A 27,642-nucleotide genomic window follows, 5' to 3' on the forward strand; every position below is an offset into this window, starting at 1 on the left:
GGGGCAGCAAGAAGGACCTGAAAGGTCTTGCTGACACCCCGAGAAGACAAACCCCATCCTTCCGCTTTGTCTCTGCCTTGGGCTCCGAGCCCACTCCACTTCATTTCATCCAGCCATCCTGACTACAGGGGGCCCAAAGCTACTCTGTGCCCTGGGCACGTTTGAGTCTCCTTAAATGCTTCCAATTACCTTTGCCTGGGTTTGTGGTTCCAGGAAAGAAGGTTCTAAATTAACACTGTACAAGGCCCCCCTGCATGTTGGTTTGCAAAATTAATGATCCTAATGGAAAAGTAAATTAATCTTTGATGCTTGGTTGAGGATAAACACAAAAATCACTGTTTTGGACACTGGACCTTCTTAATACATCTCATCAATAGTATTTTCTCTCTCCCTTCCATGCCTGCCACATTCACAAAGAGAGGAGACAATACAACTTATAACTTCATCTCTGAATCCAAAGGGCCATGATGCACGCATTTATTCTGCAAACACTTATTAATGGTCTGGTTTGTGCAAGGTGCCCAAGAGAAGCCAGGAAAGGCTGCACAGAGGAGGCCACCTCATAACACTCCTCACACGTAAAGTTTGACTTGCACTTTCTACGTTCATGGTTTGAAAAGATTGCAGTAAGCATTTTGTAAAATGTAAATTACATTCTTCAATTTTAGGAAGAACACAATAGTTTTTCCAAAAGCCGCCTGTCACAGGTCTGAGGGTTCACAGAGCTCTTTTAAGGGGATCGGAAGTTCTCTGGCTGCCTTGCTATGTTTTTCTAGCCAGAAGTCTCTGCTGCAGTGCATTGCTCAGTTCCTTTCAACTGAAAAATTAAATCTGCACTTCTGTCAAAATGTGTCATCTACACATCCGGACACTCATCACAGTTCACCAAGCTCTACGCAGAGTCCAGGCTGAAAGGATGGCATGCCCTCCCCAACCCCACCCTTTTGAGGTCTGGGAAGCCCAGGTGCTGGGGAGGAGCTGAACAACTGTGTCCAGGGAGTGTCTGGCAAAGCCGACCCAGGGAGTTCCACGGGAGCCTCGGTGCTATGAAAAGAGCCAGTGTCCATGCATTTCCTCGGGTGTGAATCACACTGCCCGGTCGGGCCTTTGGGAAAAAATTAATGAAGGACACAGTCAGCGCCGTAGAACCTGCCAAATACACATCAGATCCAGTGGAGTCTGTGAAGGGGGAGGGGGAGATTTTTCCAGAGGCTTTTCTTCTCGTTCCATTTCTCTTTTGTGCCCCACGACTGGGTTCTTGAATGTAAAACTCTCAGAAAGGTCAGGGCGGAGCCTGTTTTATGCCCCGAGGAGTATCTTGCCCACCCGTAAATGCTGACAGACAGCTGCGACTTCGGCCCAGGAGACCCGGCGGGGACTGGGTCCGACCAGCCCTCTCTCGCGGGCGCAGGTCCGGGACCCCTGAAGCGAGCCGGCCGGGCGCAGAGCGCAGTCAGTCTGGGCGCTCAGAAGCTGGGAGGGGGCTCCACCTGGGCGCCCAGCCGCGGCGGGAGGGGCGGGGCCCGGCTTTCCGGAGGCGGTGGCACCTCCTCGCGCCCGAGCGCGCGCTCCCCGACGTCCGGCGCACGCGCGAGGCCGGCTGGGAGCGCGCCCAAGCGGCGGCGGCGGCGGCGGCTGGAGGAGGAGGAGGAGGAGGAGGAGGAGGAGGAGGGCGGCTGAGGCGCGGCTGGCTGCGCGCGCGGAGGCAGCGGCGGGGGCGACCGGAGCTGGGGCAGAGTGGGGAGCGAGGGAGGGGGAGGAGAGAGAGGGAGGCGGAGGGCAGTGAGAGACGCATTTCCAGTTCTCAACTACGAGCCACGAGTTTGCAGATGGGGCTGCTCGGCGGCGCCTGTGGCTGAGGGAGAGCAGCGGCGGCGGGGAGCGACCGGGAGCGGCGGCAGCGGCGGCGCGGAGGCGGCTGAGGTGCGAGCCGGTGAGTTAACTGGACCCCCACGCCGCTCGGGTAACGGTCGCGCCGCGCGCCGGGCCGGCCGGGGGCGCCCTGTTGCTCGGCGCGGCGCGCCACGCGGGGACCCTGGCCCGCCCCGCCCCCCTCGGCACCTGGGCTTCGGCGGGCGCGGGGAAGAGGGACCGGCAGGCGGCGGCGGCGGCGCCGCGGTCGGGGAGGCTGCTGGCCGCCCCCAGCCCGGCCCGCGCGGAAGGGGCGCTCGGCCGGGCTCCTGCCTCTCTGGCTGCGGGCGGCTGGGCGGGCCGGAGCTCGGCAACGTGTCTGGCCCATGCTGCTTGCCGCCGCTCCCCACGCGCTCCCCGGCGCGGCCCCGACTGGGGCTAGGGCCGCAGACGCGCGGGGCCCCTTCGGGCGCGGGGCTTGGGTGCCTACACCTCTGCGGCGGGAGTCGCGGTGGAGCCTGAATGGAGAGCCGGCCTGGGGGCGGCGTTGCTGTGACTGACACCTCCGGGGTCTGTCCCGAGAGGGGGTGATTCCGCCGGCTCCCGGTTCTCTCCCGAGCTCGGAGTTGGTAGGGGAGGAGGCTTTCTCCAACTACCGCCGCTACTTCCGAGGTACGAGACTCCAGTTGTTTGGCCAAAGTGGCTGTGGGCCGAGCACAGGCTGCCGCGGGGGCGTTCGCTGCTGAGATCGTGCTCGCGGATTCTCGGTACGTTTGTCTGAAACCAAATAGGTGCTGGGGCTTTTTTATTTTGGCTGGGTGGAGGGTCAGCAGGGGAGTCGATTGAGGTATCCGACCGTGTGGTGACAGGATGTGGATTGGTTGGTAGATGTTTTTTTGCAGAAGGACTTTTTAACACTTTACTGGGAGTTTATTCTCAATCCTACCAGTTTCTGGGATTGCAGCTCGAGATTACATTTGTTAAACTTCCATCAGTTGGGTGTGCATCTGTGTAGGGGGTGGGGGTGAAGCGAGGGAGAGAATTGAAGACTGCCGGGGAAGCTCAGAAAATTCTCCGCATTACTTATAAACAGCCGGGTAAGGTCAGGCTAGCCACGTTTTATTCTTTCCTACGCCTTTGGAGAGTGTTGGAATTTTACTTTGTGCTTCAAGTATATTACAAGTGGTCTTGTAGTGTAGCTGAGAACGTTTGGGGTGCGTTAAAATGCGTTTCAATTGGAGTATGATTTAGCAGCCATTTCTTCCCGTGAAATTTTGCAAATCATTTGTAAACTTATGTTGGTCGAATATACCAGGCGAAGTAACATTTTTAGTAATGCGGTATATAGTTTCCGTATATAGGTATAGCAACGGACCTCAAGTAATATTGCTTATTGTAGGCATCTACTGTGCAATGATAGGGTAGTGGGTAGTAGGCCTGATTATAGTTATGTCTTCTGAGGCCTTGTTAACAGTAAACAAAGAACTTTTGTGGGTTGTGTCATTTTGAGGTCATTTGTACCTTAAATCTATCATATATTTAAATAGGTGTTTAAATGCGTGTTTGCACGATGTGTTACTCTTTAAGGTCCATGTTTCCTTCATTCTGGACTACGGTTACATAATACACAAATGGTAACACTTTTAATTGCTCAATTTTGTCCTATGGAGACTGCACACCATCTTTATGAAAGAGGTGTGTATGTGTCCTTACTGATGCCACCGAATTCTTGACATCTGGAATGTCAAAATGAATTATTTTGCATTCTAGGTTAAATCAACACTGGAAAAATTAAGGTGTTTAAGCAAGTCTAGTAGCTCTATATAAGACAGAATCTTTTTTTTTCTTTAGGCCAACTGTTGGATTTTTAAAAATGAATCATATTTTTAAACATTTGAGGGAGCAGTTTGCTTCTGAGTCTCATTTTAGGCTGAAATTGTTCCAGAGCACTACATAGCCTGCTTCTCTCTTTCTCTCCCCACTCCCCCTCTTTTTAGCTTGAGATAACCAAGAAGACATAACTGTGACTCTATGTGTTATCTTTTTAAAAAGTTGTTTTAAAATTGAAGTTGCTTGTTTGAATATTTACTATCCCTTTACATGCTTTACTACTTAATAATGGATTAGCAGAATAAAACAGATATTTTAATTAAATGTCTTTCATATTTTTGACATCTGAGCTTTGTAAAAATGGAGTAGCATCATATTATTGCTGAGAGAGTTACAAATAATACAGGATTAGTGCTAGTCAAAGGCTAATTGTAAAAAAACAGCCAGAAAATAAAATTAAAAGAGGTAAGAGGACGCATTTATACTTTTGACATCACTCTAATATAAATTACCTATTGCTAGGTGACTTTTGAAAAAGAGTATCTTGTAAAATTCACATTAGGTATATAATAGTTAATAATTTTTCCTTCCAGAGTGATTCACTTGATGAGTGACTAGATTTTTTTTTTTTAAATCAGAACTCTACTTCAGGTAAGTATAGTTAACCATGTAAGTGATGTGCTGATGTTTATTTCAGGAAGAATGAACACTTACCCATTTGATAAATACTGAACTGTTTGGGAATATGTCAGTTATTCCTTAAAACTTAGGCGGAGAAAAATTATGCTAGTTTTGTTTTAACTGTAGGTTCTTTAGAAAAGTAGTCTTCACATTTATAAATATAAGAGCAGATAAGCACAAGAGATCTCTTTCCTGATATGGTGCTAGTATTGAATTAAAGATTTTATTTTTTTGTTGTAGGGACCAGTTTTGTTTAGTCTTCCTGTTCAGTCTCACAGAAGCTGCAATGATTTTCCTCCTTTTCTGTTACTTGTATCTGACCACTGGGGGGAGACTTTACAATTGGGCTTGACCATATTCCTTCTTTACATACATTGGCTGCTAATCCTGGGCACTTTGTCAAACTGCTGGGTAGTGTGCTGAGGAGGATGCACTCTGAAGCAAGTCTCAATCAAGGTGTTTAATGACTTTTCTTTCTTTAACTCACAGCATGCTTACAAAGTATCATTCTTTATAGACTGTGTTATTAACAGTCTACTGTTAAGTGGTCTAAGTATGCCTCTAACATAATGAAAGATAAGATTCCTGAATACATTATAGCTTTCAAAGATCCGACTTTACTTGCATTAATCTTAGAAGCAGTGTAGGTTTAATTGCTTGCTTAGAGTACACAGATATTAGTTGTCTGGAAGGATCTGGAAAGATCATCACTCTTCTGTGAAGTGTATCTATATCCAAACCCTTTAAACAAATTGGTCTCCTCTTATAAAAAGCTTTTGGAGGAGAAGATATTGAAGCATCCCATGTAGCTAATTTTAGTGTTCATTTCACCGCAGAGGGGAAGTTCTTCCTTTATCATAGTCATATAGATAAGATTAAAGCCCACAACTTTGTTAACCATTAAGCTGTGACCATTATTACCAGGTGTAATAAAGTCAAAAGCCTGGTTTCTACTTTTTCTTTTCTGACAGTATTTAACCTTGTTAATGTCCAATTCAATAATAATGAACTCAGTAAACAGAGGCTGCTACGTTTATAGTAGTTTAGAAAGAACTTAAGTTTTATGACCTTCCTTAATTATGATAGACTAATTCAAAGACCTTTCTATAATCTTTATCATAGTAAGTATATTCACAGAGTAATGAACAGAACAAAATTAGTTTCTATTTTTCCTTCATCCTAGGTTATTTTCCTTCTTTCCTTTAAGATGACTTTGCTTTCATCCGAAAATTCTTTTTTCCTTTTTTCCTTTTTTTTTTTTTTTAATATAGTGTACTAGAAGAGATACTTTCTGCTTAGGAATATATTCATCTCTGGCTAACTTTAGGATTGTGTTAAGTACTTGGGAATGGAAGTTTCTAAAAGCCTATCTGTCAGAGTTATCACTGATACAAGGCAAAATGAGAATTAAAGACAATATAATGAATATTTCATAAAGCTCAAGTTATTTTCAGATCCTTTCTACTGCTTGCTAGTTTTGTACATGATTTAATCCCTCCTTCACCAATTTACATCTTTTCCTCTTAAATCTATCATTTCTTTACCCTCTTCCTCCACTTTTTGCTATATTTCATCTACATTGCCCTTCATTTTGTTCCTCATCAATGCCATGGCTTGCTCCTAACTTAGGGCTTTTGCACTATGTTCACTCTGTTGGGAACTCTTCCTAAATCATTACATGAGTGACTACTTTTCATCATTTCATGTTGTAGTTCAAATATCATCTTTTCAGACAAGCATTGCTACCTAACCATCCTTCCAGAATGACACTAGCCTCATCCCCCTCAATCCCATTACCTTTTTTACTTAAAAATTTCTTCAAACCATTTATCAGTATCTGAAATTATGTTTTTATATTATTTTATAATCTCCATACTCACTAGAATATAAGCCCCGTGATATCAATGATCTTGTCTCTTTTTGTTTTTGTTTTTGAGATAGAATCTCACTCGGTCACCCCAGGCTGGAGTGCAGTGGTGTGTGTGATCACGGCTCACTGCAGCCTGGAACTCCTAGGCTCAAGTGATCCTCCCACCTCAGCCTCCTGGTAGCTAGGACTATAGGCAACAACTACCATGCCGAGCTAATTAAAAAAAAAAAATTCTGTAGAAATGGAGTCTTGCTGTGTGTGTTGCCCAGGCTGCTCTCAAACTCCTGATCTCAAGGGATTCTCTCGCCTCAGTGCCTCAAAGCACTGGGATCATAAGCATGAACCACCACACCCTGCTGATCTTGTCTCTTTTGATTAACACTATATTTCAAGGACTTAGACCTGTTCCTGGCACATAGCTGTCATTAAATAAATCATCCTTTTAAAAAATCTGAGGTCATGTTCTTTCTGAGGTTTCGGTGTTCAAATGCTCCTTTATAAAATGATAGTAGTATGGTAAACAGGCCTCTTTTGGCCATAAGTAATAGAAATCCATTCTAGTTGTTATAAAGGGAATTTATCGTTCAAATGCAGCCAATGTCCAGTGGAATGCAAGGACTGGGACTCCAGTGCCTGCAGGGCACATCATATCGTTTCTCTCTTCTTCTCTGTGCGTTTGCTTCATTCCTTCTCTTGCTGCAGAGGACCACTTCTAGTCCTCTTAGTGGAAAATATGGCCACCAGTAGCTTCTGAGTTTTCATGATACCAGCCTGGGAAACTGGAGAAAGGTTCATCTAGTTCTTCCCTGTTCAATAAACTATATCTCATTATTAGAACTTGGTTGTACTTGCTGTAACCACATGTAATGGGATTAAACAGACAATCCAAGTAGGTGCCCCTGTGATAATTAATGTTCATACTTATTCATCTGCTGCAAAACACTCGTCTCTCCTCTTTTTAAATTTGATCTTGAAATCTGAAGTATCTGAAAAGCACTCTTCCTGGAGATATAGAAAAGAAATGTGATATCTTTCATGGGCATGATTTGCAGTTTGATTGAGGAAGATAAAATATATACAAAAAGGAAGTAAAATAAAAATAGCATGATAATGGAGGAACTGGTAGAAATATTTGCAATTTGTATGATAAATAAGAGTCTAACTTCCTTTATATAAAGTACCTACTAACCAATTAGGAAAAGACCAACCATCAAGTGGGCAAAGATCATGAACAGAGTAATTCTCAGAAAAGGAAATGCAAGTGTTTTGTAAGCATCTGTAAAGGTATTCAACCTCACACATAATACAAATATTATAAATAAAAACTATGAGATACTGTTTCACCTACTGACAGATGGAAAATGTTTGATAATACTTTTGAAGAGGCTATTAGTTAACAGGGGCTTTCACATTGTTGGTGGAAACACAAATCAAAATCTGATGTGGTTGAAATTTCTGAAGAGCATTAAGGTAAATAGAAAAGGCTGGAAATATGCCTTAATTGATACAGATGTTTGTGAAAGGGTAAAAAGTTAATGCACAACTTATTTGAACACTAACTTGCATTGCTTTGTTTTTGGCTAAAGTCATAAACAAACTGAAACAGCAGGCTTCCTCCCCCAAAAAGAGATACCTTTTGAGTGGTATTTAGTTACCCCTTTCCATCTTCTCCATTCCCCTTTCTTCTACCCCAGTACTGGTAAAGTTGTTTATAAATCACCGAGATTTTCCGATACTTTGTATCCTTCACACAGCCCAGCACTTTGTTACCTACTTAGTAGCACTAAGTAAAGATTTAATTGAAGGAGCTTAGCTTATCACCTTTTTATAGACCCAGTTCATAATTCTTATGTTTTTGGAAGAAATCTTTTATAAAAAGTGATTTTCAATTTCATTTGATAAATCTACTTAGAATATTTATTAGAATAGGCAATAGAGCAATTTTTTATAAATCTTGGTTTATTGTATAGCATATTAATGGAACTTTTTCATAGTTGCTTTGTTCTGTAGGATATTATTAGATATTAGTTGGGTAGGATTAATATTTTTAAAAGATAGAATAGGGCAGCTGGAGATATGTGGGACTTTTAAAGAAAAATGTATGAGAAAGTGTGGGGAAAATGATTCTCTGAGCAGACTGGGGGCCATATGCTTAGGAAAGGAAAAGTGAAAGGTGAGGGATTCGTTTAGAGAAATTCTGTGGTGGAACTCAGAGGGGTACATGTTGGGAGAAGTTTTAACTTAGGAAAATACTAAGCTGATTTACTTAAATGCATATTTCAAGGATAAATACTTTATATTTTGTTCTGTAGGTCATTTTTACCATGAAGTGACTCTGGCAGGGATTCTTTACCTAAGTGGGCATCAGAATCCTTTGGAGCTATCCTACGCTAAAGGATTCTAATTTAGTAGGTCTGGTATGGGGCAGGAGCATGTTTATATTGTTAAAATCCCCAGGAGCCACCATTTGAGTGTAAAATAATACATCCTGTGGAATATTCCATTTTAATAATGAAATCATTCAACAAAGCTTTTGAGGTTGTATATAATTTAGGTAACTCTAATGCTGGAACTTGGTCTCTCACCAGGTCAATACTTCTGCACATACCTCATTGATCCCCATTGCTTTACTCTCTTGCATACTCTTCCCTCCTCTGCCTTCTTGTTTCTTTTCTACTAATGAATATTCAGGCATGGTTCTCCAAGGAAGCCATCATTAGGTGGCCTCATCCATAATTTATCTTTTCAGTACAGAACAAATTATAACACAGTGCTTATACAACTGGCAAGTACACTCATCACATGAGTAGATGATTTATGTGTTTTCGTTCACATGAGCCTTGAACAAATATACCCAGTTTTACTAGTTGAGCTTCCTTGTTTTTTCTTCTTGCTATCAAGAGGTTGGCGTTTAGTCATAGTTAATGCTGATGTAAACATTTGATAATATTATAGATACCACCATGTTTCAAGGTCTATGTTAAATGCTCTCCACACATTATCTCATCTGCTTGTTGCAGATTTTAAAATTATGTTTTTTAAGTCACTAAAATCTTTTTATGATTGTATTAGTTTTCTGTGACTGCTGTGACAAATTGCCACAGACTTAGTGGCTTATAAATAAATGTATTCTCTTACGATTCTGAAGGCCAGACATTTGAAATCAGTATAATTGGGCCAAAATCAAGGTGTCAACAGGGACATTTTTCCTCCAAAGAATCTAAGGGAGAACTTACTTGTTGCCTTTTCCAGTTTCTGGTGGCTTCTGGCATTCCTTGGCTTGCGGCTACACACTGCAGTCTTCAAGGCTGGCATTTGAAATCTTTCAGCTCTGTGTCTTTCATTTCCCCACGTGTGTGTGTGTGTGTGTGTGTGTGTGTGTGTGTGTGTGTGTGTGTCAGAGAGAAAGGGAAATCTCCCTCTGTGAAGGACACTTGTGAAGGCATTTAGTGCTCTCTGGAATAACCTCCCCATCACAAGATCTTTAATCACACCTGTGAAACTTTCCAAATGCGGTGACATTCATAGGTGTCAGGAATTAAGACATAGATATCTTGTGGAGGGGGAGACTATTATTCAGCCTACCATAATGGTAATTTAAATAGTTCAGAAAAGGGAGGAGGAGTTGATAAGTCTTTTTGTCCCATCTTCATCACTTTCTAAGTCAGTATTTCTCAATCAGGGATGATTTTGCTGAACAATCTCCAGGAATATTTGGCTGTCACAACTGGGAAGGTGTTGCTACTACTATGTATAAGGTATAGGTCAGGGATGCTGCAAACAGTGCACAGGGCAGCCCCCCTCAACAAGGAGTCATCCAGCCCAAAATGTCAGTAGTGATGAAGCCGAGAAACGTTATTCTAAAGGCAACTATTGCCAATAGCTTTTTTGGGGTATCCAGAAAAAATTTTGATGCCTCTATTACGAGTAAAAGCCTTTAATCTGATTTGATCAGAACGGGTGGTAGTTTTGGCTGACTGAAAGTGATTTAAGTGAAGAGTCATAAACGATTGACACATATCTTAAATAATATATTACTTAAAAATCTACATTCATGTGTCAGTCTTTTCTTTAAGTATGTGTCTTTTGCCAGGAACTCTGGGTCATCATTCTTATATAAGCCAATGCATTATCACTGATTACCAGCTTTGGAGTGAGAACTTAAAAGTTTGTGAAGCAGTCTGCATATAAGATCTAGATTTCTAATGTTTTATGACTCCTCAATTGTTTATACTTGTTTTACCCTTAATTTTACAGCAGTTTATCATTTTGTTTTGTTGTTTTGTCACTTGCTTTTTTGGGGTCTTCCCAAAGCATCAACTGATTTTCATATAAAGAATATAACTCCCATCATCTTGTATCAAATACAGCATATGATGCATATAAAGAAAATGAAATCCTATTTTGTAATAATGGCTTGCTAAGGAATTGGGAATACTAATTCTAGTCGCAGCTCATTTGAACAGCATCCAATCTGGTGATATGGTGAGGGCTAATGTCAGTTGTTTACAAATTCTTGAATGTTTCAGAACATTTTGTTTTAGTTCTGTAATGGCAGAGTTTATAAATAATCTATAGAATATTACTATAAATACTTTATTGGTATTACCAGCTTAGTGCTTGCGTTACTTTTCTAAAAGAAACATTGATTTTTTTTTCATTAACTGTAATAAATATTATTTGAAGTTTGAATGTGGCTATCTTTGAGTGGATTTGTCTTCTTTTTATTTACTAGAATATGTATGTCTATATGCACATAATAAAATGTTATATGGAAAACCTAACTTTAGTTACATAAATAAAAAATTATTTGCTTTTTTTATTCCTCTTTTAATATCCTTCTATCTTCTATCCTTGTATAAGGAGCTAGAAGGTATAAGAAACTCCAATAATTGGGTTTCTTATAAAGAGCTTTGATATAAGAAACTCAGATAATTGAGTAAAGAAGTTTAATTTATTAAAGTTGCTTATTTTTGAAATGATAGTCATGCTTTTTTTTTTTTTTTTTTTTTTTTTTGAGACAGAGTCTTGCTCTGTCACCCAGGCTGCTAGAGTGCAGTGGCGTGATCTCGGCTCACTGCAACCTCTGCCTCCCGGATTCAAGTGATTCTCCTGCCTCAGCTTCCTGAGTGGCTGGGATTACAGATGTGTGCCACCACGCCCAGCTAATTTTTGTATTTTTAGTAGAGAGGGTTTCACCATGTTGGCCAGGATGGTCCTGAACTCCTGACCTCGTGATCTGCCTGCCTTGGCCTCCCAAAGTGCTGGGATTACAAGCGTGAGCCACCGTGCCTGGAAATCATTCATATTTTTATACAAATCAATTTAAATGTTTTTTATTTTTTAGCTAGTAATCTTTTGGAATGGAGGTCAGTAAAAAAAAATGTAAGCCCTATTTTTAAAAGGTTGGACTATCTTGTGAGACAAAGTAGTCTCAGTTTGCCATCACCAACCAATCCTTAGCATTAAGCTCTTGAAAACAACTAGGTAGAGAAATTTTCCGTGAAGGAATTTAATGATCTTTATAAAGTTTTACTATTCACCCAATTAAAATGTTAGATTATCATTTTATGCTATTCAATTTGGAAATACCAGATACTATACAATTAGTTTCCATTCACCATTACTTTCTTGAAAGAAACTTTTCACGACTTTCAATAAGGTCCCCTGCCCCCAAATAAAGTGGTTATAAATCCTAGGAGGCATTTTTGAGGATATCTTATTCAGATCCTTTCTTTTTTTTTTTTTCCCATGCTAAATATTTATTTAATTTTTTTTTTTATTATACTTTAAGTTTTAGGGTACATGTGCACATTGTGCAGGTTAGTTACATATGTATACATGTGCCATGCTGGTGTGCTGCACCCACTAACTTGTCATCTAGCATTAGGTATATCTCCCAATGCTATCCCTCCCCTCTCCCCCGACCCCACCACAGTCCCCAGAGTGTGATATTCCCCTTCCTGTGTCCATGTGATCTCATTGTTCAGTTCCCACCTATGAGTGAGAATATGCGGTGTTTGGTTTTTTGTTCTCACGATAGTTTACTGAGAATGATGATTTCCAATTTCATCCATGTCCCTACAAAGGACATGAACTCATCATTTTTTATGGCTGCATAGTATTCCATGGTGTATATGTGCCACATTTTCTTAATCCAGTCTATCATTGTTGGACATTTGGGTTGGTTCCAAGTCTTTGCTATTATGAATAATGCCGCAATAAACATACGTGTGCATGTGTCTTTATAGCAGCATGATTTATAGTCCTTTGGGTATATACCCAGTAATGGGATGGCTGGGTCAAATGGTATTTCTAGTTCTAGATCCCTGAGGAATCGCCACACTGACTTCCACAATGGTTGAACTAGTTTACAGTCCCACCAACAGTGTAAAAGTGTTCCTATTTCTCCACATCCTCTCCAGCACCTGTTGTTTCCTGACTTTTTAATGATTGCCATTCTAACTGGTGTGAGATGGTATCTCATTGTGGTTTTGATTTGCCTTTCTCTGATGGCCAGTGATGATGAGCATTTTTTCATGTGTTTTTTGGCTGCATAAATGTCTTCTTTTGAGAAGTGTCTGTTCATGTCCTTCGCCCACTTTTTGATGGGGTTGTTTGTTTTTTTCTTGTAAATTTGTTTGAGTTCATTGTAGATTCTGGATATTAGCCCTTTGTCAGATGAGTAGGTTGGGAAAATTTTCTCCCATTTTGTAGGTTGCCTGTTCACTCTGATGGTAGTTTATTTTGCTGTGCAGAAGCTCTTTAGTTTAATTAGATCCCATTTGTCAATTTTGTCTTTTGTTGCCATTGCTTTTGGTGTTTTAGACATGAAGTGCTTGCCCATGCCTATGTCCTGAATGGTAATGCCTAGGTTTTCTTCTGGGGTTTTTATAGTTTTAGGTCTAACGTTTAAGTCTTTAATCCATCTTGAATTAATTTTTGTATAAGGTGTAAGGAAGGGATCCAGTTTCAGCTTTCTACGTATGGCTAGCCAGTGGTCCCAGCACCATTTATTAAATAGGGAATCCTTTCCCCATTGCTTGTTTTTCTCAGGTTTGTCAAAGATCAGATAGTTGTAGATATGTGGCATTATTTCTGAGGGCTCTGTTCTGTTCCATTGATCTATATCTCTGTTTTGGTACCAGTCCCATGCTGTTTTGGTTACTGTAGCCTTGTAGTATAGTTTGAAGTCAGGTAGTGTGATGCCTCCAGCTTTGTTCTTTTGGCTTAGGATTACCTTGGCAATGTGGGCTCTTTTTTGGTTCCATATGAACTTTAAAGTAGTTTTTTCCAATTCTGTGAAGAAAGTCATTGGTAGCTTGATGGGGATGGCATTGAATCTGTAAATTACCTTGGGCAGTATGGCCATTTTGACGATATTGATTCTTCCTACCTATGAGCGTGGAATGTTCTTGCATTTGTTTGTATCCTCTTTTATTTCGTTGAGCAGTGGTTTGTAGTTCTCCTTGAAGAGGTCCTTCACATCCCTTGTAAGTTGGATTCCTAGGTATATTCAGATCCTTTCTTATGTTCACTTAAAAGTTATTGATTCCAACTTCTGTCCTAGAGATAGCATAACTTGGATGTTTGAGATTAAAAAAAAATGCTTTTAGTAACCTTTATTTAACTCGCTCAGCTTGCTATATAGCCAAGTCGGTATTTATAGTTTGTTTCCACCCTTGATAATTTCATGCCAGTACTCATCAGAATGGAACACTGACTTGGCTCTGTCTGTCCTTATTCTCATCTCCATCCCCTCCTTTCCAACACACTGCAATTCTAGATTGAAGACTGCACATTTATTTATTTATTTATTTTTTTGAGACGGAGTCTCACACTGTTTCCCAGGCTGGACTGCAGTGCCGAGATCTCGGCTCACTACAAGCTCCGCCTCCTGGGTTCATGCCATTCTCCTGCCTCAGCCTCCCAAGTAGCTGGGACTCCAGGCGCCCGCCACCTGCCTCTGTTATCTCTTCTAAGAGTGTGCACCACTAATATCTTCTACTCCTACTCTGCCATCTATCTAGTTCCCTTCTCTTTTATCATCCAAACTTGGAGTTCCCTCTTTTGCAAATTATCTCCAAAAAGAGCAACTTAGAATTTGTTACTCTCCAGGGAAATTTTCACTGAAAGCAAGTCTGTTTATATATGTATATACTGGTATTACACAAATAAAAAGATTATATAGTTTATTTGAGGGAAGAAGCAGTTTCTTTGTATTCCCCCAGTCAGGCATCATCCATGAACATAGGCTTTGCTATTTTTTTTTTTAATTGAAGATGTTAGGGGAAAACAAAGTTTAGCCATATTTAATTTTATTTAGCCATATATTTTATTTAGCCATAAAATAAAATACTGCTTTATTTTATCATGTGTGGCAGACTGTAAGTTCTGAGAGAATTCAGAAGAAGAAATGTTCACCTGTGGGGAGAGACTTGCTACTTATTTGCTACTTGATTGAGTTAATTTTGAGATGAGTTCAGGGACTCATTTTAGCTCTAAAATTTTGATTCTGCGTAAGCAAGAAATAGGTCATAAGCTGGGTAAGTATGGAATAACCAAGGAAAAAAAGTAGTCCTTAGATGGGATGAGTAACAAGAGTGAAGGCATTTAGGTGAGAATTAGATATGTGGTTGTGCATATAGGAAGTAAAATGATCAATGTGGTTAGAACAGAGAGTTTATATTAAGGAATAAGAGTGCATTAGGTTGAATAGATGGAAAGCTAGATATTAAGAAGAGAAATTTAAACATACCCAGATGATAGAAAATCATGTTTTTCTAATGCAATCTGGTCATTAAAATGATTTTTTAACATGATTGGTGTGATAGTCTTACGCCTAGTAGATTACAGTGAAGAAGAGAATGGTAGAAGAGGCTTGTGGTAATAATTTAAAAGTGAATTAAGGAGAGCCTGAAAGACAGTGGTGGCAGAGGGAAGGGAGAGTAAAAGATAAATATAAGGACATTGCAAATTCACCATGACAAACCAAATGACATAGGGCGTCTTGAGGTTTTCAAGGAATTCCGAGGCAAAGGCAGTCTCTGGATTTTCAGAGTTTGGAAATTCCCCGCCCGCCCTGCCCCCCAAATTCTAGTATTTTCCCCAAAATAAACCCTGGTCTTGTTTAAAGGATTTTTTTTTTGTTTTTTGTTTTTTGGTTATTTTTATTTTTAAATAAGTTGTTATGGCCCCTAGATTTGAGCAAGTTGTTCTCATATTTGACTAAGTTAATACTAAAGGATGGAAAAGTTCTTTAGAGACTACCTACTTCGCTATTAATTTGTCATTTATCCCTGCATTATATACTGTTAAAAACATTGGAAGGACGAAGGACGTTAACTGGAATGACGATGGATGAGTGTGGGTACTGTCATATAGGGGAGGGGAAAGAGCAGAGGAACTTTTAAATTATTAAATTATTATTATTAAATTAGAGGAACTGAGAAAATAAAGATACTAATAGTAAGGAATATGTTATTTTTAATTTAAAAAATTTTTTTAGACAGCATATCCCTCTGTCACCCAGTCGAGTACAGTGGCCTGATTGTAGCTCACTGCAACCTTAAATTTCTGGGCTCTAGTGATCCTCCCAAGTAGGTGAGACTACAGGTCCACACCACTATGCCCAGCTAATTTTTTTTTTTTTTTTTTAATGTTTTTAGAGTCCAGGTCTCACTGTGTTGCCCAGCCTGGTCTCAGAACTCCTGGTCTCAAGCCATCCTCCCTTCTTGGCCTCCCATAGTGCTGGGATTACAGGCATGAGCCACCATGCTAAGTTTTGTGGGGAAGTGTGGAAAGTACGTGGCTTGATTCTTATCAGAAAGTTTCACTTTACTTTTGTCTGAGTCTTCCTCTCTGACATCTTCTTTTCAATTTCATAAAAGAACACTATAGCAAATACATCTTACAACCATGACCATACTGTCTCTAGAAAGCCAGAATATTATGAAACATTTAGTAGGTGAGCAAGAAAAGTGGAGTGATTCTGATGCCAGAAATAGCACCGAGCTAATACAGTTTGATCTATTTGTTATTTAGAATACACCAGTGATTCTCTAAGGGTGCAGTTTTGCCCCCTAAGGGACATTTGGTAATATTTGAAGCCATCTTTGGTTGTCACACCTGGGGTGGGGTGCTACTGACATCTAGTGGGTAGAGGCCAGGGTTGTTACTAAGCAATTCATTGGGACAGACCCCACAACAAAGAATTATCTGGCGCCAACTGACAGCAGTGCGAAGATTGAAAAACCCTGGAATGTAGAGTAGGCAGGTTCTTCCCTGGACATGTTTGGAGACATAGGTCAATTTTTTTTACTTCCTTTTCTTCTAGGCTTGACCAGATATCATCCTACCAACAGCTTACAATACCATATAGATTCTTACTCTTTGTTTCATTGTGTTCTTATCTTAAGGGTATATCTTAGACATTTCAATTAGACAAATATTTCTAAATATTTCTACCCATCTTCATTTAGGGTTGCTTTTTTCTGCTAAGTTTATTTTTCTGTTTTACCAGTTTATCTCTTGAGGCATCACTCTATTTTTAAATAATTGAGGGCCTCTGATGATGTATTTAGGTATTCTCTTTTACAGCATTTTCATGTGCTTCAAGTCCCAGGTCTGGGTTGAGCTAGTTCTTGAGTCCAGATTTTTTTCATATACTGTTTGAACCTCTTCTGATTTTTTAGTATATAAAAAGTTTGAACAACAAGACCCTTAAGGGAAAAACTATCTTGGAGTTCTTTTAGAATGATTTTATTCTTGCTTACAGATAAAGATTGCCATACGTATAACAGCTACATACAAAAAGACTTTATAATGGTTTATAGCACTAAATGGAAAACACTGAAATTCTAGAATGAAACAAGGTTTGCAAGAACTTCTATTTGGCTTTATTGTTTTGGTTAAGCAGAGCAAAATAATTCATCATAATATGAAGATAAAAGTTGAATGAATGTATCATAATTGAGAAAGGGGTGTGTTTTTAGAAAAACAGTTTATTTTGTCCTTATCCCACCTCCATTTGATGTTGATGTAAACATATTGGCCATTTAATATAAAATATAATTCCAGTCTGCCTATGTATAACAACTACACTGTACAATAAAAAGAGATGGAAAGCAAAAGTATTTCTTTACTGTAGTGGTCAGGATATGATTTGTAGATCCAAATTTTGTGTGTGTGTGTGTGTTTGGAAAATTTGGGAGGCAAAGTTCTCAAGTAAGTGCAGATCTTCTTTTAGTAGATACTTCCTGTCTGCTTTGTATACACATCAATTATATCTTCATCTTCCATTTTCACCTGTACAGGTGTTTCATTAATTGGCCTCCCATCACATCCAAAACCAAGTTGCCTCATTGATAGATCAGTTGTTAACAATAGGCTCTCATTAGTTTGCTAAGTGATATACTCTGGAGCTGTACCACTGAACCATTCCACCCCACCACTGCAACTCTATATGGTTATTTTTTTGGGTCTTGACTCCTTTCTTGGGCTTTTTGTCAGCCATGGAAAGCATTACTGTTGCAGCTGCTGCTTCTCGAAAGAAGTTTCAGGTACCTCATGTATGTGCACACAACCAGCATTAGTAAGTAAGCCTGTTTTAATTCTGGAGATATTTTACCTAAGAAATATTTAAGTGTGTGAAGAGACTACTTTTCTGAGTGTAGAAATTTCAGGGCAGTCAAATGCATTTCTGTATTGTTAATGCTCTGAACAAGCTAGTGTACCTGGAGGGAGGAATTTATGTTGGTTAATGAGTAACATAGTTCTCTCATCCCATTACTTATTTATGATCAATTTATTTTTAATTAAGCTTTTAAAATTATTAATGCTACATGACATGCAAAGTTAAAATCAGCATGGAAGAATGAATGTACCATGAAAGTTAAAGGTTTCTATCCCTACTCTTACTTCATAGAGTTAATCATGGTTAGTAGTTTCAGATTTAGTTATATTAGTAAAGTGGTTCTCAATTCATGACTGGCATTTTTGGCAGTACTATACTTTGCAATGCAGGATTGTCCTGACCTGAACACTACTCAGTGTTTAGTGTCCCTTAATATTTGGTTTTCTACCACAGTTACTGAGACAATCAAAAATGGCCTAGTACATTTCCAAATGCTCACTGGGGAGAGGTGGTATGCTAATTTTAAAAAACATACATCTTAGAAAGCATATGTTTATGTTTTCAATTTCACACAGTAAGTATTGACTCTAGTATAAAAGAATATTTAAGTGCGCACAGACTTCTTGAGGGAGGCCCAGAGAAAGTCCACTTGGGAGGAACTGTGCTTACTTCTAAAGTCTTAGATGATAAGATTTTTCAATCTTACCTGCTTTCTTTCCTGATAGTCTTACTTTCTTGTGTTTTCAGCTACCTGTCTTTTTGTTACTGTTTGATGATTTTTGAATTGTGTGCTCTTGCTTCGCTGGGTTTTATTGGAGGAAATTCTGTGCAGCCCAGTTAGAGGACACATTCTTTCCAAGGTTTGCCAAGGCTTTTCTTTGGCACCTGTGGAAGCCACTGACCCAAGACCACTTCGTAGTTTCTCTGCTTGGGGTGTTCTGAACTAGGCAGGTAGGTATATTTGGAACCCTGAATCCTTGAGAGTAGGCTGTGATTACTAATTCTCAGGTGATATTTTTTTCTGCTAATATGGAGTCCAATCTGAGACAGGCCAACTTCCTTATTGTCTTCCTTGGCCAACAGGCATGTTTTTATTAGACTACTCTTACAAAGTAGGGGTTAGTCCTATAAGGTCTCAGCTTCATGTGGGAAGGTCTAAGTTGCATTTTTCATCTTGAACAGGCCAGGGCCTAAATGGCAGCTTCTGAACTCCTGGTTACTGAAATCCTAAACACCCCAGGGCAGTCATAACTTCAGTACCTACTTACTAGTTTGTTTTTTCCCCTTCATATTGGCTCACAGGGATATTCTTGGGGACTTTTTTTTTTTTTTTGAGGGGATGTTTTCAGTATTTTATTTTGCATTTTTAGATGTTTTGTGAGAGAATTATTTTCAGATTTTCAAGGGTACCTTCTTTGCCAAACCAGCAAGCCTTTCTTATCTGTTTTCTAACTTCTAAGCAGTTCCTAAACTTCTGGTTTGCTAATCTCTTTCTCTTTTATTTTTGTCTCACCTCCCCTCCAGTATTAGTGCTGTTTTATTCTTTTTTAAAATTACATACCTGTTTTGTCATTTCAGTGGGACCTCAGGAGGGAGGGAACATAGGCATGTGTGTTCAGTCTTCCACTTTAACTGGAAGTGTGTCTAATAGTTTTGAGGTATACTATGTCTATTAGGACCAACTGACCTTAGGAAAAATCAATGTAAATACCTTTCCATTTAACTGTCATTTTAAGTTTGAATTTAAAAAGCATAGTCTTTGGCTGTAAAAGAGGGACAGGGTCAGGAATGGAGGATGACATTCAGACCATTATGCAGTTGAGCAAGGCCTCACTGAGATAGGGGGCAGTGTGTAGCTTGACATACGTGGGCTCTTACCATAAAGTCTAGCTATATAAAGCAAATCACATTACAATGATGAGAAGCCAGAATTTTAAAATTTCATCCAATGAGTATTTATTAAATGTGATGTGTCTGGAGTAATACTAAGAATTAGAGTACAAAAATAAATAAAATGCCATATCCTCAGTGAACCCACTAATTTTGTGTTAGAGATAGACATGTAAATTAAAATAGTTCTCATTATTCAAGATAGTTATGGTGTATAAAGTCTCTGCAAATGCAGAATTATCAAATGCTGAGCCGTGTTGCTTCTAGGGGAAATGCAGGGTTAGGTTCCTGCAAGCCTTTAGTCACAGTATGTTCATCAACTGGTCAATATATAGCCTTTTTTATCTGTATTTCTCTTTAAAGATACTTTATTATATATTATTGATTCATTAACATTGTACTCATAGCCAAGCTTACCATATCTTATGCCTGAACAAAGCTTGTCTAATATGTACATTTTTCTGTAAAGCACACCAGAGCCTTTTCATGATAAAGAAACACTAGATAGCACTTCAGTGCTATGATTGGGGACCATTTTGTGAAATCACAAACAACAGAAAAATGCAAAAAAAAAAGTGGCACAAAATAAACTATGAAAAGGATACTTGTTTTTAGTATGAGAGCCGAAACAAGAAAGCAGAGTGTTGCTTTCTTCCACCTCAGCTGGGACTGTGCAATGTTGGGTGACTCAAATTTTTCACCACTCTGCATATCCACTAATGACCACAAAAGCTCTGTAAGTATCGATTATTGGATTAAAAGTAAATTTTAGCAAGTAGGCAAATTCGCAAACACAGAATAATGAGAATCAACTGTACTGTATAATGTGGTAAGTGCTGTATATTGTAAATCTGCTAGGTTGGGTCAGGGAAGGCTTCATTTGAGACAATTAAGATGAATTTACAGCAGTATGAAGCAATGAATCTATGGAATGGCAAATGGTCCAGAGTGGTTGGAATAAAAGGGCCCCTGTAAGGAGAGGCAAGTGGGGACGTTTGGACTGGCCAGCTAACAGAGGAGGATGTGAAGGCCCTTATGCTGTATTAAGGAATTTTGATTCTGTAGGTGATGGGAAACTATTGGATGATTTTAGCCAGGGGAGAAACATGGTCATATTTGTATTTTGGAAAGCTCACACTGCTTTGGTATTGGGTATAGATGAAGTAAGGAAAATAAATACAGGCATACCTCAGAGATATCACGGGTTCAGTTCTGGACCGCTACAATAAAACACATATCACAATGAAGCAAATCACACAAATTTTTTTATTTCCCAGTGCATGTAAAAGTATGATTACACTACACTGTAGATTATTAAGTATACAATAGCATTATGACTAAAAAATGTACATACCTTGATTTAAAAATACTTTAAAGCTTAAAAATGCTAGTAATCATCAGAGCCTTCAGAGAGTTGAAGTCTTTTGCTGGTGGAGGGTCTTACCTTGATGCTGATGGCTGCTGACTGATCAGGGTGGTGGTTGTTGAAGGTTGGAGTGGCTGTGGTAATTTCTTAAAATAAGACAGATATAAAGTTTGCCACATTGGTAGACTCTTTTTTCATGAAAGATTTATTGGTAATATGTGCTGCTGTTTGAGAACATTTTATCTATAGTAGAACTTCATTCAAAATTGGAGTTAATCCTTTCAAACCCTGCTACTTTACCAGCTAAACTTATGTAATATTCTAAATTCTTTGTTGTCATTTCAGCAATATTTACAGCATCTTCACCAGGAGTAGATTCCATCTCAAGAAACCACTTTTTTTGCCCACTTGTAAAAACCAACTCCTCTTCTGTTAAAGTTTTATCATGAGATTGTAGCCTACATCTTCAGGCTTCACTTCTAATTCTCATTCCCTTACTTTTTCCACCACATCTGCAGTGACTTACCCACTGAAGTCTTGAATCCCTCAAAGTCATTGATGAGAGTTGGACTCAGCTTCTTCCAGACTCCTGTGAATCAACATTTTGAAGGATATTTTGACCTTCTCCCATGAATCACAAGTGTTCTTAATGACATAAATGGTGAATCCTTTCCAAAAGGTTTTCAATTTGCCCACATCCATCAGAGGAATCACTATCTATGGCAGCTATCGTCTTATGAGATGTATTTCTTAAATAAGATTTGAAAGTCAGAATTACTCCTTAATCCATGGGCTGCAAAACAGATGTTGTATTAGCAGGCATGAAAATAACATTCATCTGCTGTGCATGTCTATCAGAGCTCTTGGGTGACAAGGTGAGTTGTCAATGAGCAGTAATATTTTGAAAGGAATCTTTTTTTCTGAGCAGTATGTCTCAACAGTGGACTTAATAAATTCAGTAAACCTTGTTGTAAACCGAAGTGCTGTCATCAAGGTTTTGTTCCATTTATAGTGCACAGTTAGAGTAGATTTAGCATAATTTTTATGGGACAGGATTTTTCAGAATGGTAAATGAGGATTGGCTTCAGCTTAAAAGTCACCACCTGTGTTTGCCTCTAACTAAAGAGTCAGACTGTCCTTTCAAGGTTTGAGGCCAAGCATTGACTTTTCACTAGCTATGAAATCCTATGTGGCTAATAAAAGGCTATTTTGTCTGCACTGAAAATCTATCTGTTGTGTAGCATAGTCACCACCTTCATCAATGATCTTAGCTAGATCTTTTGGGTAACTTCTTGCAGCTTCTACATTGGCACTTGCTGCTTCACCTTACACTTTTATGTTATGAGATGACGTCTTTCCATAGACCTCATGAACAACCTGTGCAAGTTTCAGACTTTTTTCCAGTAGCTCTTCACCTCTCTCAGCCTTCATAGAATTGAAGGGAGTTAGGGCCTTACTCTGGATTAGGCTTTGGTTTAAGAGAATGCTGTGACTGGTTTGATCTCCAGACCACTCAAACTTTCCCCATATCATCAATAATGCTGTTTTGCTTTCTTATTCCTGTATTCACTGGAATGGCACTTTTAATTTCCCTCAAGAACTTTTCCTTTGCATTCACAACTTGGCTGTTTAGCTCAAGAGGCCTTTCAGCCTCTTTGCTTTCAACTTCCCTTCCTTATTAAATGTAATCATTTCTAGCTTTTGATTTAAAGTGAGAGACTTGCTCCTCTTCCTTTCACTTGAACTCTTAGAGATTATTGTAGAATTATTAATTAGCCTCATTTCAATATCGTTATGTCTCAGGGATTAAGGAGGTCTGAGGAGAGGGAGACGAGGAATGGCCAGTTGGTAGACGAGTCAGAACACATACATTTATCAGCTGTCTTATATGGGGGTGATTCATGGTGCCCCAAAACAGTAAACAGTAGTAACATCAAAGAGCACAGATGTGATGGATATGGTAATTACCTTGACCCTATCACCATACATTATATGTATCGAAATACTACCCCATGAATGTGTGTATTTATTGTGAAGTTTAAAAAGATTACTGATCATAGATCATCATAACTGGCATAATAGTAATGAAAAAGTTTGAAATATTGTGAAAATTACAAAAATGTGACACAAAGACATGAAGTGAGCATATGCTGTTGGAAAAATGGCTTCAATAGACTTGATCAATGTGGGGTTGCCACAAACATTCAATTTTTTTAAAAACAGTATCTGTGAAGCACAATAAAATGAAGTGCAGTAAAATGAGGTATGCCTGTAGAAGGTTTTAGATATTCAGGTGAGAGATGATGAGAGAGTGAACTAAGGCAGTGACAGTGGAGATAGAGAAAATGGGATAGTATTTGAGAAATATGCCAAGATTTAAATCAAAAGTTCTTCGTGACAGATTAGATAGAATAAAGGAGATCAAACAGCTATTCATTGTTGCTATTAAGATAGGCAATACGGGAGGAAGACCAGATTTAGGAAGTAACATGATAATTTCTGGATATGCTCATTTTTATGGTGCCCATGGGAGATTTTCTGTGGAGATGTAGGCAAGGAAATACAAATCTGAAGCTTGGGTGATATAGCTTTGAGAGACATCAACTATTTATATATATATAAAAAATATATATAAATATATAAAAAATATATAAAATACATAATATATAATATATATAAATATATATAAATATGTAAATATATATTATATATTTTTAATATATATAATATATAATATATATAATATATAATATATAATATATAAATATATATTAACTATATATAAATATATATAAATATATATAAATATATATATATTTGAATGTCTACTGTGTGTCAAGCACTGTCCTAGTGCCAGAGGAGACAGAACAATGAGTGAATTTTTAGTGAGGGGAAACATAAGCAAAAAATAATTTCAGATGAGTACTGTGATGAAAATGAAACTAAAAGGATGGAGAGTGACAAGACTGTATGTAAGGGTGGTAGCGTAGTTTAGATTGAATGCTTGGGTTTACTTTCTGGGGAGGTAATAGTTACACTGTGACAAAATGAAGAGAATATTGGTATGTGTGTGGATCTCTGGGAAGAGCATTTCAAGGAGAGAGAACAGAAGATGGTAAAGATGGGAAATGAGAGATGGGAGATGAACTGGTCTAGTTTGAAAACAGAAAGGAGCCCAGTGTGACTGGAGACAAGCAGACAAAGGGAAAGAGTTGGAGAAGTTGAACGCAGAGAGGTACAGTGGGTGACAAATCATGAAGGCGCTAAGCGGCCATGGTCAAGAGTGTGGCTAGTTTTCTAAGTACAGTGGGAAGCCTTTGGGTAGTTTTAGCAGGAGAGTAACAAAATCTGTTTTGTGTTTTAAAATGATGGCTCTAGCCACTCTGGGGAGAATATTGTTGAGAACGAGAGTGAAGGTAAGGGAACTGGTCAAGTGACTACTGCAGCAGACAGGCAAGAATTGATGGTGGCTTAGCGTAGGGGGATAGCAGTGAATGGGCAAGGGAGTCAGATGGCTTTTCTTCAGTCACCTCCATTGTGACCGAATTGAAGAACCAGTTTATCATTGGATCTGTTATGAATTCTAGGTATTTTTGTAAGTATATATATAAAGTATTATTTTGAAAACAGACCCTATCAATGAAATTTATTCTAAAATTACATAGTTTTGGGATTCAAATTAGAACATTTGATAAAATATCTCAGTGATTCTATAATATTTCACATTTATGAATGTTTATTAGGTGTGTAAAACATTTTCAAACAATTTTGATTCATTATACTACATATTTTCTTGTAAAATAATGAAGTTTTGACTTGCTTTGTTAATTAGTGGTTGGGTGAATAAAAATTTACTCAAAGCAGGACTACTACATTGTGAGAGTAAATTGGCAACAGTGCTATTTATTTGAGCTCTGTTTAAAAAGGAAAAAAAGGACTCTCCGTATATCTAGCTTTCTCCTGTGTGAGCACTACACTTTAACAAGGATATTTCTGGACATAGTAGGAAGCATGGACTGTGGTGGGGAGAGATTGGGGATTAGTATACCAGTTAAGAGGCTTTTAAAGTAGTCTAGGCAAGAGAATATTAGAAACTCTAAACCAGACAGTGAAATTTTTAGAGTGGAATTGTGGTGAAGATTACTTTGAGACTTTTATGAAGTAGAATGAAAAGATTTGAAGAAGAATTAGATGTCTGGAGGTTAGGGAGAAGAAAAAAATTGGATGATTCTGAGATTATAAGCATCAGAGAATGGGTAGTTGGTGATGTCGTAATATAAATGAGAGGTAGAATCTGTAGTCGCAGTAGGCTTGGTTAGAGTCAGTGAGTAGTTTTCAAAATGGTAAATTAAAGGCACCATCTTTGGGACTCCCTGGGGAAAAACGTAAAGAAGGCAGTTGAAGAAAGGTGAGTGCTGTAACTAATACTTGGAAATTATCATCATATAGAAACTAGATGAAGCCTCAGAAATAAATGAGATCACTCAAGAAAAGAATGAAAACCTGAGAGATAGCATCAGCAGTGATAGTCTGTCCTTAAATAGAATGAAGACAGTATGTGACTGGTTTGTCAGTTGTCATTCCTGATCTTTTCCAAGAAGTTTGAGGAGAGCTGTGGCTGAGATGGCACGGGTGGAGAACTGGAAAGATAACGCATAATACAGACTACTCTTTGAAAAGTGTGGTGGGGAAAAGGAGAGAGATAAGGCTGTGACTTAAAAGAGAAATGAGGTTCCATATAGGGATTTTTAAAAGTTACTATTTAAGGATGGAGAAGATGTTAGCACATTTATAGATGCAGAAATAGCAAATGAAAAAATATTGAAGTTTTAGAGGAATAACCCATGGATCATGGTCCCACAGTGGGTGGGAAGTAGTTGATTCATTGACAGGTAGTAGCCTTGTAGAGGAGGAAGGGCATACTTTCTCCTGAGATACAAGGAATAAAGAATGATGGTAATGTATTTGATTCTGCAAGTGAAAGGGAATTTCAGTAAATCATAGGTGATAAGCTCTTTTTTTCCTTTTTCTTCTGACAAAGTAGTCTTTTGACAATTTAGTGTGGTAAATGTTTGAAATAGAGAATATGAGAGAACTTGAGAAGGGGCAAGTAATAGGATTGTGCAGCAGTATTTGGGAGCTTGTTTCTTTTTGTAGGACCAGGGCAATTTGAGAATATTGCAATACTTGGGGATAAGAATAGGAAGGAAGGCCCTGGAATGGAGAAAAGAGCTGTGGAAAATAAGAGGTGAGGGGAGATGATTACTTCATGATTTGCCTAGGGCTGCCTATATTGAAATGTGTGCAGGCAAGCTATTGCTAGGCCACTGGGGAGATCTTTTCACTGAGTCCAAATGTGAACTACATCATTAATGCTGTTTTATCAAACCAAAGTATATAAAGGAAGTTCTGTTAAAGCAGAAAATTATCATTATAGAAAAGGACTTGTGAAAAGTTCTACAACATTTGAAACAGGTATTTTCATGTAACTTAAATTTATGAAGGACAAGTTATTGTCTTTTTAGTTCATATTTTTAGTTCATTTTATTACCAGTATTTTCAAAACGTACCCAGCTCAGTCTTTAGTTGTTAGAAGTGAAGGGCTAACAAGGATATCCAGTTGTCTATAGTGTTGATGCTTGCTATAGGGAAATTTGCAGTGAGGAAAACATATTAAAATAGTACTGTTGTTCAGTTGTAATTTCATCTATTTAAAGTGTTCTTTCACTACATTGAACAAATTATCAGATTGCCTAAGTTTCTTATAACCAGAAGTCTTTCATATAAGAAATGTGAGGTTAAAACTTAAAATAACCTGTTCATTATAGATTGGATAATCTGCTGTTTCACTGAGTTAGGACCTCTTTGGAATTCGCAAATTTCTGAAACTGTGCTAAATAAATAAGGCTATTATGAGCAAGGTTTTATGTGTACACACACAATCAAAGTTTTCTAATATTTGGACTATGTTTTAATATTCCATGCAAGGATTCTGTGTATGGTGTGTCTGTGTTTCTCTGTCTTGTTAATGTGAGCATTCATGCCCAGAAGGGATGACTGGGAGACATTATGCCTTTGAAGAAGATAATTTGTTTCCAACTTATTTTTACTGTCAAAAATGTTTTTTGTGCTTATTTTTAATGCAGTGCTTTGTATATACTTTTGTGAAATATTTCGCCCAGTACTTTAAAGGATGATACATAATCAAAAGTAAAAAACACACCGAGTGTTGAATGAGGCAGGAATAAAATACAGTCGTGCATCACTTAACAAAGGGGATACATTCTGAGAAATGCATCATTGGGCGATTTCATGATCGTGCAAACATAGAGAGTACTAACACAAACATAGATTGTACTAACACACACATAGATGGTATAGTCTGTTATACATGTGGGCTATTTGGCCTATTGTTCCTAGGCTACAAACCTGTATAACATTTTACACTTGTGGCTTACCATGAATGGAGCTTGCAGAACTGGCAGTTGCTCTGGGTGAGTGAGTGGTGAGTGAATGTGA

The 27,642-nt window shown here is 38.6% G+C and overlaps 1 protein-coding gene and 1 pseudogene across 5 annotated transcripts in view, besides 10 other annotated features; one reads left to right on the plus strand and one right to left on the minus strand.

Moving 5' to 3' along the window:
* Positions 941 to 1,010: an enhancer, noted in NCBI's record as "active region_25743". NCBI's record gives its function as "activates an Ori minimal core promoter by ATAC-STARR-seq in GM12878 lymphoblastoid cells {active_cell/tissue: GM12878}" and the evidence as "EXISTENCE:reporter gene assay evidence [ECO:0000049][PMID:35858748]".
* Positions 1,031 to 1,130: an enhancer, noted in NCBI's record as "active region_25744". NCBI's record gives its function as "activates an Ori minimal core promoter by ATAC-STARR-seq in GM12878 lymphoblastoid cells {active_cell/tissue: GM12878}" and the evidence as "EXISTENCE:reporter gene assay evidence [ECO:0000049][PMID:35858748]".
* Positions 1,271 to 2,340: a silencer, noted in NCBI's record as "silent region_18017". NCBI's record gives its function as "represses an Ori minimal core promoter by ATAC-STARR-seq in GM12878 lymphoblastoid cells {active_cell/tissue: GM12878}" and the evidence as "EXISTENCE:reporter gene assay evidence [ECO:0000049][PMID:35858748]".
* Positions 1,271 to 2,495: a biological region, named in NCBI's record as "H3K27ac hESC enhancer GRCh37_chr7:24613275-24613774".
* PALS2 (protein associated with LIN7 2, MAGUK p55 family member) overlaps positions 1,792 to 27,642 on the plus strand; it is a 120,742-nt gene continuing 94,891 nt past the window's right edge. For 3 of the 5 annotated variants that reach the window (NM_016447.4, XM_011515425.3, NM_001303037.2), the window contains exon 1: positions 1,792 to 1,933. The gene's annotated coding sequence lies outside the window, so the exon portion shown is untranslated. Of the gene's footprint in view, positions 1,934 to 2,305; positions 2,619 to 27,642 lie in introns of those variants that run through there. The other 2 variants (XM_017012316.3, XM_006715738.4) reach the window with 2 other exon arrangements.
* Positions 1,996 to 2,495: an enhancer, noted in NCBI's record as "H3K27ac hESC enhancer chr7:24613275-24613774 (GRCh37/hg19 assembly coordinates)". NCBI's record gives its function as "activates a minimal SCP1, AML or CMV promoter by ChIP-STARR-seq in primed H9 embryonic stem cells {active_cell/tissue: H9 hESC(primed)}" and the evidence as "EXISTENCE:reporter gene assay evidence [ECO:0000049][PMID:30033119]".
* Positions 2,441 to 2,490: an enhancer, noted in NCBI's record as "active region_25745". NCBI's record gives its function as "activates an Ori minimal core promoter by ATAC-STARR-seq in GM12878 lymphoblastoid cells {active_cell/tissue: GM12878}" and the evidence as "EXISTENCE:reporter gene assay evidence [ECO:0000049][PMID:35858748]".
* Positions 2,541 to 2,660: an enhancer, noted in NCBI's record as "active region_25746". NCBI's record gives its function as "activates an Ori minimal core promoter by ATAC-STARR-seq in GM12878 lymphoblastoid cells {active_cell/tissue: GM12878}" and the evidence as "EXISTENCE:reporter gene assay evidence [ECO:0000049][PMID:35858748]".
* Positions 4,492 to 4,993: an enhancer, noted in NCBI's record as "NANOG hESC enhancer chr7:24615771-24616272 (GRCh37/hg19 assembly coordinates)". NCBI's record gives its function as "activates a minimal SCP1, AML or CMV promoter by ChIP-STARR-seq in naive H9 embryonic stem cells {active_cell/tissue: H9 hESC(naive)}" and the evidence as "EXISTENCE:reporter gene assay evidence [ECO:0000049][PMID:30033119]".
* Positions 17,455 to 17,747, minus strand: SUMO2P14 (SUMO2 pseudogene 14; annotated as a pseudogene).
* Positions 23,998 to 24,307: an enhancer, noted in NCBI's record as "active region_25747". NCBI's record gives its function as "activates an Ori minimal core promoter by ATAC-STARR-seq in GM12878 lymphoblastoid cells {active_cell/tissue: GM12878}" and the evidence as "EXISTENCE:reporter gene assay evidence [ECO:0000049][PMID:35858748]".
* Positions 24,368 to 24,427: an enhancer, noted in NCBI's record as "active region_25748". NCBI's record gives its function as "activates an Ori minimal core promoter by ATAC-STARR-seq in GM12878 lymphoblastoid cells {active_cell/tissue: GM12878}" and the evidence as "EXISTENCE:reporter gene assay evidence [ECO:0000049][PMID:35858748]".

This window comes from Homo sapiens, chromosome 7 (assembly GCF_000001405.40).
Source record: "Homo sapiens chromosome 7, GRCh38.p14 Primary Assembly".
Classification (NCBI taxonomy): domain Eukaryota; kingdom Metazoa; phylum Chordata; class Mammalia; order Primates; family Hominidae; genus Homo; species Homo sapiens.